Source organism: Homo sapiens, chromosome 16 (genome assembly GCF_000001405.40).
Source record: "Homo sapiens chromosome 16, GRCh38.p14 Primary Assembly".
Taxonomy (NCBI): domain Eukaryota; kingdom Metazoa; phylum Chordata; class Mammalia; order Primates; family Hominidae; genus Homo; species Homo sapiens.
This window is the reverse complement of record NC_000016.10, coordinates 4,139,531-4,154,647: the sequence shown is the minus strand read 5'-3', so window position 1 is coordinate 4,154,647 and position 15,117 is coordinate 4,139,531. Positions and strand designations below refer to the sequence as shown.

The window sequence follows — 15,117 nt, the reverse complement described above, 5'->3', positions numbered from 1 at the left end:
CTTTTTCCCTGGAAATTTCCCAGTTTGACCCCAGCCTGTCTTCTTCTACGAAACTCCTCTTGCCCACCTCAGTCTTGCACAGGTGTCTTAGATTGGCAGAGCTGTGACATTCTTTCTTCTTGTTCTTTTTTTTTTTTTTTTTTTTTTTTGAGATAGAGTCTCATTTTGCAGTCCAGGCTGGAGCGCAGTGGTGTGATCTTGGCTCACTGCAACCTCCACCTCCTGGGTTCAAGCAATTCTCCTGCGTCAGCCTCCTGTGTAGCTGGGATTACAGGCGCACGCCACCATGTCTGGCTAATTTTTGTATTTTTAGTAGAGATGGGGTTTCACCATGTTTTGGCCAGGCTGGTTTTGAATTCCTGACCTGAAGTGGTCCACCCACCTTGGTCTCCCGAAGTGCTGGGATTACAGGTGTGAGCCACAGCGCCCAGCGCATCCCTCCATTTGAATGACCACCTCCGTGCAGTCCAGTTCTTTATTTGCAGGTTAGCCTACGGCCATAGACAACAAGCGAGCATCGGGCCGTGAAGCATGAGGCTGCCTCTGTTGAATCATTGTGTGCCAAGCGTTGGCACAGGCCTGGGCACTTGGCACGGGTTGACAGAATGGTGTGAGGTGGTCTCTCTGCTGTTTGAATCTCCAGTGTTCACGATCCGCAGCCCTTGCCGGTGTGGTGCTCGGCATCTGGCGGCTCATTGATCAGTTCTTTTTTTTTTTTTTTTTTTGAGACGGAGTCTCGCTCTGTCGCCCAGGCTGGAGTGCAGTGACGGGATCTCGGCTCACTGCAAGCTCCGCCTCCTGCCAGGTTCACGCCATTCTCCTGCCTCAGCCTCAGCTGGGAATACAGGTGCCCGCCACCATGCCTGGCTAATTTTTTTTTTTTTTTTTTTGGAGAGTTGGGTTTCACTGTGTTAGCCAGGATGGTCTCGATCTCCTGACCTCATGATCCGTCTGCCTTGGCCTCCCAAAGTGCTGGGATTGCAGGCATGAGCCACCGCGCCCGGCCTGATCAGTTTTTGTTTTCGGCATTTGCCCTGCTGCCCTGCCCCACCTTCACACACAACAGGACTCAGGTCTCCAGCGCTGCACACAGGCGCTTGCAGCCACTAGATGTCTACTAGGTCGAGCTGCATGAAAATGCCACGATTTGGCTGTTTTTTGTTTTTTTTCCCCAAGACACAGTGTCGCCCTGTCACCTAGGCTGGAGTACAGTGGCACGATCTCGGCTCACTGCAACCTCCACCTCCCAGGTTCAAGTGATTCTCCTGCCTCAGCCTCCCAATAGCTGGGATTAGACACATGCCACCACACCCGGCTAATTTTTGTATTTTCAGTAGAGATGGGGTTTCAGTATGTTGGCTAGGCTGGTCTTGAACTCTTGAGGTGATCCACCTGCCTCAGCCTCCCAAAGTGCTGGGATTACAGGCACGAGCCACCACACCTGGCCTTTTTTTTTTTTTTTTGAGAGAGTCTAGCTCCACCCAGGCTGGAGTGCAATGGCATGATCTCGGCTCACTGCAACCTCCAGGTTTAAGCGATTCTTCTGCCTCAGCCTCCAAGTAGCTGGGATTACAGTGTTTGCCACCACGTCCTGCTAATTTTTGTATTTTTAGTAGAGACTGCGTTTCACCATGTTAGCCAGGCTGGTCTCAATCTGACTTCGTGATCTGCCCGCCTCAGCCTCCCAAAGTGCTGGGATTACAGGCGTGAGCCACCGAACCTGGCCGATTTGGCTGTTTTTATTTTTATTTTTATTTTTTAATTATTATTATACTTTAAGTTTTAGGGTACATGTGCACAATGTGCAGGTTAGTTACATATGTATACATGTGAATTTGGCTGTTTTTAACCTCCATAATGCTAAATGTCTTTGGACAAGGAGACAGAGTATTCATTGCTCAGGTGTCCTGACCAGGGGCCTTGGCCTCAGGCCTCCTTCCCAGTGCTGGAGGTCCTGTGCGCTGCTGCACTTCACATCCCTCACCACTCCCAGACACTGCCTCCATTCTGGCTGAACACAAATTGTTTTTGAAATGTTAAATCAGATGTCAATTTCCTGATTCACATTGAGAAATAGAACCGCCAGGCTAACCAGATATCATCTCTCTCTTGCAGCAGGAAAATCTACCCTGGAGGTCAACTTGACATGACAAAGTTGCTCTGTAAGCAACTCCCAGGGTACATGCTCAGACTCAGCGGCCTGTGCAGGGATGGGCCAGCCTGAGGCAGATGAGCTGCAGCCCCGCAGGGTCCCTTCTTCAGCAAGGAGGATAGGGTGACAGCTGGGTCGTCTCTGCAGGACCGAATGTGCCCTGCTGCAGATCATGAGAACTGATTGGTGAGCATGCCAGATAATCTCAGGGTTGTGGGGTGATCCTGGGCACAGCTTGGTCCCTACAGAGAGCAGTTTGCTGCAACCTACTGGGGATACCTGTGGTGTTTGACTTGGGTGATTTTCCACCCCTGAAATAACTCATGCTGGCCCTCCTTCCCTCCCTGTCTCTCCTCCTTTCTTCCTGTGTTCTGTCTTTATTCCTTTCCTTTGGGGGCTCTTTTTTTTTTTCTAATTGTAATTTACTTACAATAGAATGGATATTATATATTTTTAATTTTTATTTGTTTTTATTATTTTGTTTTATTTTATTTTTGAGACGGAGTCTCCCTCTGTAGCCCAGGCTGGAGTGCAGTGGACTTGGCTCACTGAAACCTCTGTCTCCCGGGTTCAAGTGATTCTCCTGCCTCAGTCTCCCGAGTAGCTGGGATTGCAGGCACCCACCACCATGCCCAGCTAATTTTTGTATTTTTAGTAGAGACTAAGTTTCACCATGTTGGCCAGGCTGGCCTTGAACTCCTGACCTCAGGTTATCTGCCGGCCTCGGCCTCCCAAAGTGCTGGGATTACAGGTGTGAGCCACTGTGCCCGGCCTTATTTTATTTTATTTTTTGAGATGACGTCTCACTCTGTTGCCCAGGCTGGAGTGCAGTGGCGTGATCTCAGCCCACTGCAACTTCTGCCTCCCAGATTCAAGTGCCACCATGTCATGCTTATTTTTGTATTTTTAGCAGAGAAGGGGTTTCTCCATGTTGGCCAGGGTGGTCTTGAACACCTGACCTCAGATGATCCACCTGCCTTGGCCTCCCACAATGTTGGGATTACAAGTGTGAACCACCTCGCCCAGCCGAGATTTGTATTTTTGTAGAGACATGGGGTTTCGCCATTTTGCCCAAGCTGGTCTTGAACTCCTGGGCTTAAGCGATCCTTCTGCCTCGGCCTCCCAATGTGCTGCGATTAAGGCATGAGCCACCGTGCCTGGCCAAAAGCTGTGATTTTTTTAGAAAATATTGAACATCATTGTCATCCCTGAAATTGCCTTCACAGTGTGTCCCAGTCAGTTCCCACGCCCCAAAGCCTGCCATTGTTCTGTTGTTTTTTTTTCCAACATTGATTCATTGTACCTGTTCCCAAACTTCGTATAGTTGGAAATATACATTAGGTACTCATTTATTCTGTCACCCAGGCTGGAGTATAGTGGCGTGTTCTTGGCTCACTGCAACCTCTGCCTCCCGGGTTCAAGCAACTCTTGTGCCTCAGCCTGCCTAGTAGCTGGGACTACAGGTGTGTGCCACCATGCCCAGCTAATTTTGTATTTTTTAGTAGAGATGGGGTTTCACCACGTTGGCCAAGGTGGTCTCTAACTCCTGACCTCAGGCAATCTGCCCATCTTGGCCTCCCAAAGTGCTGGGATTACAGGTGTGAGCCACTGTGCCCCGCCAAGCATTATGTCTTTGAGATTTGTCTGTGTCATTGTGACGTACCTTTTGCCTTTCCCACCACCCGAATATGTGACTTTACCACAGTTTATCCATTTTCTTATAGACAGACACCAGGGGCCACTTCCATTTTTTGACTATTACAGATAATTTTGCACAAGGCTTTTCATGGACATTTGAAATGGAATTGCTGGAAAAAAAAAACCGAATTGCTGGGTCATAAGATTTTACTTTCTAGTTTAGTAAAGAAACCAGGTTGGGCACAGTGGTTCACATGCCTCCTTTGGGAGGTTGAGGCAGGAGGATTACTTGAGCCCAGGAGTTCAAGACCAGCCTGGGCAACATAGTGGGATGCCATCTCTACAAAACACAAAAAGAAAGGCCGGGCGCGGTGGCTCATGCCTGTAATCCCAGCACTTTGGGAGGCCGAGACAGACTGATCACCTGAGGTCAGGAGTTCGAGACCAGCCTGGCCAACGTGGTGAAACCCCATCTCTACTAAAAATACAAAAATTAGCTGGGTGTGGTGGTGCATGCCTCTAGTTCCAGCTACTTGGGAGGCTGAGGCAGGAGAATAGCTTGAACCCAGGAGGTGGAGGTTGCTGTGAGCCAAGATCATGCCCCTGCACTGCAGCCTGGGCAACAGAGCGAGACTCGGTCTCAAAAAAAAAAAAAAAAAAAGGAAAAGAAAAGAAAAAGAAAAATTTAGCTGGGCCTGGTGGTGCATGCCTGTAGTCCCAGCTGCTTGGGAAGCTTAGGCAGGAGGATGGCTTGAGGCCAGGAGGTTGAGGCTGCAGTGAGCAGTGATTGTACCATCTCACTCCAGCCTGGGCAACAGAAAGAGACCCGGTCTCAAAAAAAAAAAAAAAAAAAAAAAAAAAAAAGGAAACCATTAGACAGTATTCCAAAGCAGTTTTTTTTTGTTTTGTTTTTGAGACGGAGTCTCGCTCTGTCGCCAGGCTGGAGTGCAGTGGCACCATCTTGGCTCACTGCAAGCTCCGCCTCCCGGGTTCAAGCAATTCTCCTGCCTCAGCCTCCCGAGTAGGTGGGACTACAGGCGCACACTGCCAAGCCTGGCTAATTTTTGGTTGCCAGGATGGTCTTATCTCCTGACCTCATGATCCGCCCGCCTTGGCCTCCCAGAGTGCTGGGATTACAGGCGTCAGCCACCGTGCTTGGCCCAAAGCGGTTTTGTTATTTTACACTCCCATCAACAACATACGACGGTTCTAGTTACTCCATATTTTTGCCAACATTTGGTGTTGTCAGTCTGCTTAATTGTAGCCATTCTGGTGACTGTACTCAAAATTTAAAATTTTGATGAATTTGTTTATTAATTTTTTATGGAATGCTTTTTGTGTTTTGCCTTAGAAATATTTGCCCATCTCAAAGTCATGAAGTTATTTTCCTATGTTTTAGATGCTTTATGAATTTAATTTTTTATTTAGGTCTTGGATCTATTTCAATTTAATTTTTTGGTGTGATGTAAGAAGTTGAGGGGCCGGGTGCGGTGGCTCACGCCTGTAATCCCAGCACTTTGGGAGGCCAAGGCGGGCAGATCACGAGGTCAGGAGATCGAGACCATCCTGGCCAACACGGTGAAACCCTGTCTCTACTAAAAAAAAAAAAATACAAAAAATTAGCCAGGCGTGGTGGCGGGTGCCTGTAGTCCCAGCTACTAGGGAGGCTTAGGCAGGAGAATGGCGTGAACCTGGGAGGTGGAGCTTGCAGTGAACCGAGATGGCACCACTGCACTCCAGCCTGGGCGACAGAGTGAGACTCTGTCTTAAAAAAAAAAAAAAAGGAGTTGAGGTTCATTTGTTTTCCTTACAAATAGGCAATTTGTTTTTCCTTACAAATAGACAATTATTCTAGCCCATTTGTTGAAAGGTTTTTCTTTCTCCATTGAATTACCTTGGTACATTTGTTGGGAATCAGTTGGCCATATTTATGTAGGTCTATTTTTGGACTCTGTTTTCTGCTCCATTGATTCTATTTTGTGTATCCTAACGCCACTACCAAATGGTCTTAGCTACTGCTGTTTATAGCAGTTCTTAAAATCAGCCAGTGTAAGTCCTCTGAATTTTTTCCTTATTAGGATTATTTTGGCTATTCTAGGTCCTTCTCATTTCCACTTACATTTTAGAATCTGCTTGCCAATTTCTAAAAAAAGCTTTCTGGTTTTTTTTAATTTTTTTTTTTTTTTTTTTTGAGAGAGGGTCTTTTTCTGTCACCCAGGCTGGAGTGCAGTGGCATGATCATAGTCACTGTAGCTTCACCCTCCTGGGCTCAAGCAGTCCTCCCACCTCAGTCTCCTGAGTAGCTGGGACTACAGACACATTCCACCATGACTGGCTAACACTTCTATTTTTTTGTAGAGATGAGGTTTTGTCATGTTGCCTAGGCTGGTCTCAAACTCCTGAGCTCAAGTGATCCTTCTGCTTTGGCCATGCCAGTCTGCATTCTGGAATTTTACTTGGGATTACATTGAGTCTATAGATTAATTTGAGACAATTGACATTTTAACAATATTGAATTTTCTAATCCATGAACATGGTACATTTCTTCATTTATTTAGATTTTCTGTAATTTCTTTCAATAATGTGTTACAGCTTTCAGTGGAAAAGATTTGCATATCTTTTGTTAAATTTATTCCCAAATAGCATTTTTTATTTTAATGAAGGAACCTGGAAGCCCCAGAAAGGTGAAGGTGAAATGGTTGATGGGCAATTATGGGGCTGATGTTTGGGGTTGGAGCTCGATTCAGCACCCAAAATGATCACCGTCAAGAAGCAGCTGGTCACATGGGGTGATTCTCACTTTGTCCTCTCCAACTGGTTATTGCAATCAAGCCAATTTGCTGTCTGGGGGACATGACAGCTAGTAAGGCTGTGTTCCATTGCAGTGAACACCTTGGTCCTCCCTTCTCGACCCTGGGTGTCCCACACAGATCAGCCACAGGCTGCCTGTGCTTACGGTCCCCTCCTGAGAGAAGCTGCAGTGTCTCCAGCTTCTGATGCACAGTGTGAGGCTTCCCCCTGAGCAACAGTGGCCAGTGGCCTTGGTGAGGCCCAGGCTTGGACAGCCCTGCCCTACGGGACTAGAAAATGTAGTACCAACCACGGATTTGGTAGGACAGGAGAAGCCAAGAAATGGATGAGAAGAGGCAGAGAAGGAAGCTGAGTGGCTTTAATGGCAGAGCACTGTGGAAGGGGCCCATGAATGGCAGTTGCCTGAGGGTCTACCAGACAGGCTGCTGTCGGAGCAGCCTTGGGTTTCCAGTGGACTTCCACTTCCGGTGCCTGGGGGGCCTCGCTCTCCTGGGACTCTTGCTTTCCCCAGAAGGCTTAGGTGTTTTGACTTTCCCAAGGCTCCTTTGAGGGCTGGCGCCGTGGCTAAGCTTCCTCTCTTCCTTATTCCACAAGCCTCCCCACCGTAATGCCTACCCACTGTGAGAACTGACTCGGAATCGCTGCCGCTGGTATCCAGGGGTGCCACCCTCACACAACTGTGACTGCCCTTGGAGCTCTTGTGCTCCCTCAGTTGGAAGCCTTTTGTTTTCTCTAGGTTACTAGGCTACGTCAATGTGTGGGTGCATACACAAAAATAATTGGGACACCATACTTTGTCTTTGCAGTTTTGTCTCACATAGGCAGAGGTCTTACTGATAATTTGGAGGGGCCAATCAGAGGCATCCTGGATAGCGGGGAGTCTGAAAGGCAGGCCAGGCCCGGCATGGCAGCTCACACCCGTCATCCCAGCACTTCAGGAGGCTGAGGTGGGAGGATCTTTGAGCCCAGGAGTTTGAGACGAGCCTGGGCAACATAGGGAGACCCCATCTCTATAACAATTTTAAGAATTAGCTGGGGCTGGGTGTGGTGGCTCATGCCTGTAATCCCAGCTGAGGGACTTTGGGAGGCTGAGGCAAATGGATAATCTGAGCTAAGGAGTTCGAGACCAGCCTGGCCAACAAAGTGAAACCCCATCTCTACTAAAAATACAAAAATTAGCCAAGTGTGGTGGCGCGTGCCTGTAACCCCAGCTACTCAGGAGGCTGAGGCAGGAGAATCACTTGAACCCAGGAGGCGGAGGTTGCAGTGAGCAGAGATTGCACCACTGCCCTCCAGCCTGGGTGACAGGAGCGAAACTCCACCCACACCCCCACCAAAAAAAAATTAGCTGGATGTGATGGTGCACACCAGTGGTCCCAGCTACTTAGGAGGCTGAGGCAGGAGAATATCTCCTTGAGCCCAGTAGGTTGAGACTGCAGTGAGCCACATTCATGCTACTGCACTTCAGCCTGGGTGACAGAGTGAGACCCTGATTCAAAAAAAAAAAAAAGAGAGAAAGGCTGCAAGGAAGACCTGGGAAAGCTGGGGTTCGCAGGAGAGGTGCTTGGGGAGCTTTCAATACTGCCTTGAAGTAGGAGAATATTTGCTCCCAATGCCATATTGGGAGGGGAGGAGCTTTCAAGGAGCTGTACAGCCACGGGACAGGCTTCCTGGGACTCTGATTTCTGTATCCCTGGAATAAACAAGCAGATGCTACAGAGACGCCTGCATTGGGCAGGGTCATGAGCTCTTCAAGATCCATTTGACACTGTTTCTAACACTTTACCATGAGTCAATTCATGATCTCTCAAGAAAAGCTCTTCAGGGGAGGAACCCCCCAGAATTAATTTTTTGTTTTTGGAGGCAGAGTCTGTCTCTGTCACCCAGACGGAAGTGAATGCAGTGGTGGGGTCATGGTTCACTGCAGCCTCGACACCCTAGGCTCGAGAGATCCTCCCTCTTCAGCCTCCCTGAGTAGCTGGGACTGCAGGCCTGTGGTCTGGTTAATTATTATTTATTTATTTTTGAGACAGAGTCTCTCTGTTCCCCAGGCTGGAGTGCAGTTGCTAGATCTTGGCTCACTGCAACCTCTGCCTCCTGGGTTCAAGCAATTCTCCTGCCTCAGCCTCCCGAGTAGCTGGGATTACAAGTGCCTGCCACCATGCCTGACTAATTTTTGTGTTTTTAGTAGAGGCAGGGTTTCACCATGTTGGACAGGCTGGTCTCGAACTCCTGAGCTCAAGTGATTCTCCCACCTCAGCCTCCCAAAGTGTTGGGATTACAGGTGTGAGTCACCATGCCTGGTCTAGTTAAGTTTTAAAAAATTTGTATAGAAACAGAGTCTTGCTATGTTGCCCAGGCTGATGTTGAACTCCTGGCCTCGATACTCATACTTTGGCCTGCCAAAGTTCTGGGATTATAGGTGTCAGCCACCATGCTGCTGAAAGACATTTTGTGTTTGTTTGTTGGTTTTTTATACGGAGTCTCATTCTGTCACCCAGGCTTGAGTGCAGTGGCGTGATCTCGGCTCACTGTAACCTCTGCCTCCCAGGTTCAAGAGATTCTCCTTTCTCAGTCTCCTGAGCAGCTGGGACCACAGGCACATGCCACCACGTCTGGCTAATTTTTTTTGAGATGGAGTCTCGCTCTGTCACCCAGGCTGGAGTGCAGTGGCGTGATCTCAGCTCACTGCAAGCTCTGCCTCCCAGGTTCATGCCATTCTCCTGCCTCAGCCTCCCAAGTAGCTGGGACTACAGGCGCCCGCCACCACGCCTGGCTAATTTTTTGTATTTTTAGTAGAGATGGGGTTTCACCGTGTTAGCCAGGATGGTCTGGATCTCCTGACCTCGTGATCTGCCCGCCTTGGGCTCCTAAAGTGCTAGGATTACAGGTGTGAGCCACCGCGCCTGGCCCGCGCCTGGCTGATTTTTGTGTGTACATATATATATATATATATATATATATATATATATATATATATATATATATATATATATATTTAGAGATGGGGCCTCACTATGTTGCCCAAACTGGTCTTGAACTCCTGGGCTCAAGCAATTCTCCTGCCTTGGCCTCCTGAAGTGCTGGAATTACAAGCATGAGCCACTGCACCCGGCCAATTTCACTTTTAAGGGGTCCCATGCTACTATATGAGAGGCAGCCAACATACCTGGCCTACCTGGCCTTCCTCTTCACCTTTGAAAATGGCTTTCCACACTAGCCTGTAGACTACAGACTATTTCTCCAGGTGAACCTATTAATTGCAGAAGACAGATTCCAGAAATCTCAACAACAACAAAAAAATTAAAAGTGAAATTGGTTGTCTGACACCTTGGAGCAGAGACTCTGTCATTTACCTCTTTTTAGTTGGACTGGAGAGTACAGGCCCTGCCTACAGCAGAAGCTCATCAATGTTTTTTGATGATCCAGTAAGCATCTTTTAAAAATGACAGGATTCTGAGACAGGCTATAAGATGAATGAACTTGAGGACACTGTGGTAAGTGAAATAAGCGAGGCACAAAAGGACAATATTGTATAATTCCACTTACAGGAGGGACCTAGAATAGTCCAACTCATGGAGACAGAAAATGGAATGTTTGTCAGGGAATGGGGAGGAGGGGTGAGGAGTTAGTGTTTAATGAGGACAAGGGCTCAGTTTAGGATGATGAAAAAATTTGAAGATAGATGGTGGTGATGGTTGCACAACAATGTGAATATACTTTTTCTTTTTTTTTTTTTTTGATATGGAGTCTCTCTCTGTCACCCAGGCTGGAGCGCAGTGGTGCGATCTCGGGTCACTGCGACCTCTGCCTCCCAGGTTCAAGTGATTCTCCTGCCTCAGCCTCCGGAGTAGCTGGGATTACAGGCGAGTGCCACCACACCTGGCTAATTTTTGTATTTTAGTAGAGATGGGGTTTCACCATGTTGGCCAGGCTGGTCTCTAACTCCTGGCCTCAAGAGATCCACCAGCTTCGGCCTACCAAAGTGCTGGATTACAGGCGTGAGCCACCACGCGCGGCCAACAATGTGAATATACTTAATGTCACTGAATTGCACATTTTAAAAATGGTTACAATGGTAAATTTTAGGTTACATATATTTTATCAAAATCGTGTGTTTGTAATCTAGTTGGTGACCTAAATTTTTGCAATTATGATATAATCAATGATTTTTCAAAGGTGATACTGTCCACCAGTGTTTGTGGGGTGCAAAAACATTGCTGAGTTTGTTCATTTATTCAACCAGCATGCCTTGGCTGCCTGCTCTGTCGGAGCCTCCTGAGCTAAACTTGAAGATATAAAGTCAATGATCCCACCACTTGGGAGGCCGTGGAGGAACACTTGAGGTCAGGAGTTTGAGACCAGCCTGGGCAACATAGCAAGATCCCGTCTGTAAAAAAAAAAAAATAGAATCACTCACATGCCTACTCTTTCAGAACTAGGTTCTGAGGGTGAGGATCAAGAGCCAGCCCATGAACCTCTGACTCGGTGAGTGAAGCTTCCGGCAGAACATCCGGCCTGGCATCCGAGGCGGCACTTATCTGAAGCCTCTTATATGAGGAGGATCTCAAAAGAAGCAGGGAGAGAGCCTTGGGAGAGGAACCTGGTGCCAGCCCTGGATACAGAGATGGAGTCGTGACGGTGTCGGGCCAGCCTGAGAAATAGCAGGAGACCTGACATGGCCTAGGGTGGGGCTCTAGGTGCTTGATGAAAGTGAGATGGAAGGAGTGCACCGTGGTGACTGCGGAGTCCTCAAAGCCACTGCGACCCTCACCTTTACCTCCTGTCAGCTGGTGAGCTTGGTAAGGTTGAAGAAAAAAATCTCTTGGGGCCGAGCACGGTGGCTTATGCCTGTAATCCCAACACTTTGGGAGGCCAAGGCAGGTGGATTGCTTGGGGCCAGGAGTTTGAGTCCAGCCTGGGCAACATAGCAAGACCCCATCTCTACAAAACAAAATAAAAAAAAAATAGCCAGGCATGGTGGCATATGCCTGTGGTCCCAGGTACTTGGGAAGCTGAGACAGGAGGATCTCTTGAGTCCAGTAGTTTGAGGCTGCAGTGAGCCGTGATCACACCACTGCACACCAGCCTGGGCAACAGAGCAAGACACTGTCCACCCACCAAAAAAATGAACAAACGAAACTCTGTAAATCTGTTTTTCTCATCAATAAAACAGATAATACTTCTCACATTGATAGGATTAAATCAGAAAATCTGTGTAAAGTGTCTAGCTGAGATACATCTTTTTTTTTTTTTCGAGACGGAGTCTCACTCTGTTGCCCAGGCTGGAGTGCGGTGGTGCAATCTTGGCTCACTGTAACCTCTGCCTCCTAGGTTCAAGCGATTGTCATGCCTCGGCCTCCCGAGTAATAGCTGAGCTATGTCTATATTTACATCTCTACCTACAGATGATATCTTGTCTATATCTGTATCTACACACACACAAGACAGGGCAGGGTGTGAGAACTCTGAAGGTCTGGAAACAAGCCTTGATTATTTCTAGGTTTCGCTTCTCTGTTTTGCAGCCAGGGCATTTGGCTCTGGGAAGTGGTGAGAGCATCCTGGGTGTGTCTGGCGAGCTGGGTGTCTCTAGCCCAGCATCTTTGTCAGCGTGTAGCTGGGGGTGTGGAACCAAGGGCAGAGGGGATGGGTGGGGCTTGGAGGTGGCAGCAAGCATGAGTGTTGACGTCGTGGAAGCCTAAGGCTGGTTCTTTCATGGGTTACCATATTGGGGCCCAGGTGAGAAGTCTAATCCTTTGGGTGTCACAGTTTGACTTGTTGCCACAGAAACCACACCATCTCAACATGATCCATCCAACTGCTTCCTGGAAAAGCAGTTTGGAAGGCAATTGGATCATTTTATTATTATTTCTTTTAAATAAATATATTTTTAAAAAACAGAGATGGGGTTTTGCCATGTTGTCCAGGCTGGTCTCGAACTCCTGGGCTCAAGCAATCTGCCTGCTTCAGCCTCCCAAGGTGCTGGGATTACAGGCGTGAGCCACCGCGCCTGGCCAATTGGATCATTTTCATCAATGAAAGATGGTGCATTCTCGCACCTGCTTGGGTATCATGTATGAACGACGTAAATGTGATAGAGCCCAAAGAAATGATTTGCTCAGGAACGGACCGTTGAGGGAGGAAAATGGAGACAACTCACGAACCTCTATTAGCCATTTTTGGATGGAAAAAAATTGCATCTTCATTTTTATGAATTCCAAATAGGGACATTTTTATGTCCTTCCATTATGAGTATGGCAACAGACCACAGTATTATTCATGGGGCCATAGCTTCATTGAAGTGGATAGCGCGGATACTTAATCAAAGAGGATTGACGCAGAAAATCGGTGAAAAGATCTAGGCTATTTTCTCTACTTTGGCTTCCGCAAGATATGGGGACACAAATCGCATTTGTTCCATTGCTTTATGAGCCAGGTTGACTTAACTACTGAGGGAAGACGCCTGGCGTGCTGCCCACGAGGCGGCAGGAGCAAACTCTTCAGGTTATCATTGGTGGAAATTTCCACAGATGCGTCTTCAGGCTGAGAGGTCAATTTATTGGGCTCATGTGGAAGGCTGGAAAGGCTTGATTAACTAGTCAGTCTCATTCACTTTTTCTTTCTTTTTTTTTTTTTTTTGGCTGTGGTGGAGTCTCACTCTGCCGCCCAGGCTGGAGTGCAGTGGTGAGATCTCAGCTCACTGCAACCTCCGACTCCCAGATTCAAGCGATTCTCCCACCTCAGCCTCCCAAGTAGCTGGGACTACAGGTGTGCGCCACAACTCCTGACTAATTTTTGTATTTTTTAGTAGAGATGGGGTTTTGCCATGTTGGCCAGGCTGGTCTCCAATTCCTGACCTCAGGTGATCCGCCCACCTCAGCCTCCCAAAGTGCTGGGATTACAGGCGTGAGCCCTGTGCCTGGCCTGTTATATTCATTTACTTTAAAGGAAAGTATTTGCCAAAGGACCTTTTCTCGTGAGGAATGTTTTGACTGATCACCTTCTTTGTATTAATGTTAATACTGTCATTTTCCTCACCTATGAGATGTCTGAGTATTCTCAAATTATTCAGCCTTCCCATGATTTTAACATCTTTCATCCAATCTTCAAATTTTACTTTCACTTCCACAATCTTGTCCAGCTCAGTAGGTAAAAGCCGCATGCCTGGGCATGTTCCCTAGCTGTGCTCTCAGCATAAATTAGATAGCGTGTCAGTTTGGAGTTCATACAGAGGCAAGTAACAGAAAGCCCTGTTTTAGAGGCTGATGATAATAAAGAATTCCTTTTTCCTGGGTAGGAAAAAGTTCACGGTAGGCACTTTGGTGCTGGTATCTGTATTGGTTCATTCTCACATTGCTATAAAGAAATGCCTGAGGCTGGGTAATTTATAAAGAAAAGAGATTGAATTTGTTCACAGTTCCATAGACTGTACAGGAAGCGTGGTGCTGCCATCTGCTCAGCTTCCAGGGAGGCCTTAGGAAACCTCCAATCATGGTGGAAGGTGAAGCGAAGCAGGCTTGTCCTACATGGTTGAAGCAGAAGCAGGAGAAAGAGAGAGGGGAGGTGCTGTCTCTCTTGTTCCTGCTCCACCGATCACTGTCACTATCATAACAACAGCACCAAAGCGAGATGGTGTTAAACTATGAGAAACCGCCCCATGATCTAATCACCTCCCACCAGACCCTACCTCCAGCACTGGGGATTACATTTCAACATGAGATTTGGGTGGGGACACAGATCCAAACCATATCAGTATTAATGACTATTGATGCCATCAAGAACCCAGGCTCTTCTCATTTTTCTGTTCCTCTGTCCTTAGCATAGACCTCATTCTCAAGCCTCTTGTCTCATGGTTGCAAGATGGCTGCTGTACCTCCACACCTCACACTGATGTTCCAGGCAGAAAGAAGAGGAAGGGTGAAGGAATGAAGGGCTTTCCCTTAGCAAGTCCTTACCATCTTATTCAGGAGGGGGAAATCCTCCCCAGAGTTTACCTCCCCAGAGAGGTAAACCAGGCTTTGCCTGAGGTATCTAGGTGGCAACTTTCAGAGCTGGGATTCAATCTCAGGTCCAGTGTCCTGTCTTCTGGACCCCACTGGCTGGGTGTGATCAACGGGCAATCAACTCATTGAGAGAGACAGACACACAGAAGCAAAAGGGACAGATGGACTTCATGTGCTTCAGTTTTGCACAAGCCTACCTTTTTATTTATTTATTTTTTTTGAGACAGGGTCTTACTCTGTTGCTCAGGCTGGAGTGCAGTGGTGCAATCATGGCTCGCTGCAGCCTCTAACTCCCCAGGCTCTGGTGATCCTCCCACCTCGGCCTCCCTAGCACCTGGAACTACAGGCACACGCCATCACGCTCAGCTAATTTTTGTATTTTTTGTAGAGATGGGGTTTCATCATGTTTCCCAGGCTGGTCTTGAACTCCTGGCCTCAAGCAATCCACCTCCCTCAGCCTCCCAAAGTGCTGGGATTACAGGCGTGAGCCACCACACCTGGCCTGATACAGCC

At 47.7% G+C, this 15,117-nt stretch overlaps 1 annotated feature.

The window, feature by feature from the left end:
• Positions 6,963-7,494: an enhancer, noted in NCBI's record as "H3K27ac-H3K4me1 hESC enhancer chr16:4197155-4197686 (GRCh37/hg19 assembly coordinates)". NCBI's record gives its function as "activates a minimal SCP1, AML or CMV promoter by ChIP-STARR-seq in primed H9 embryonic stem cells {active_cell/tissue: H9 hESC(primed)}" and the evidence as "EXISTENCE:reporter gene assay evidence [ECO:0000049][PMID:30033119]".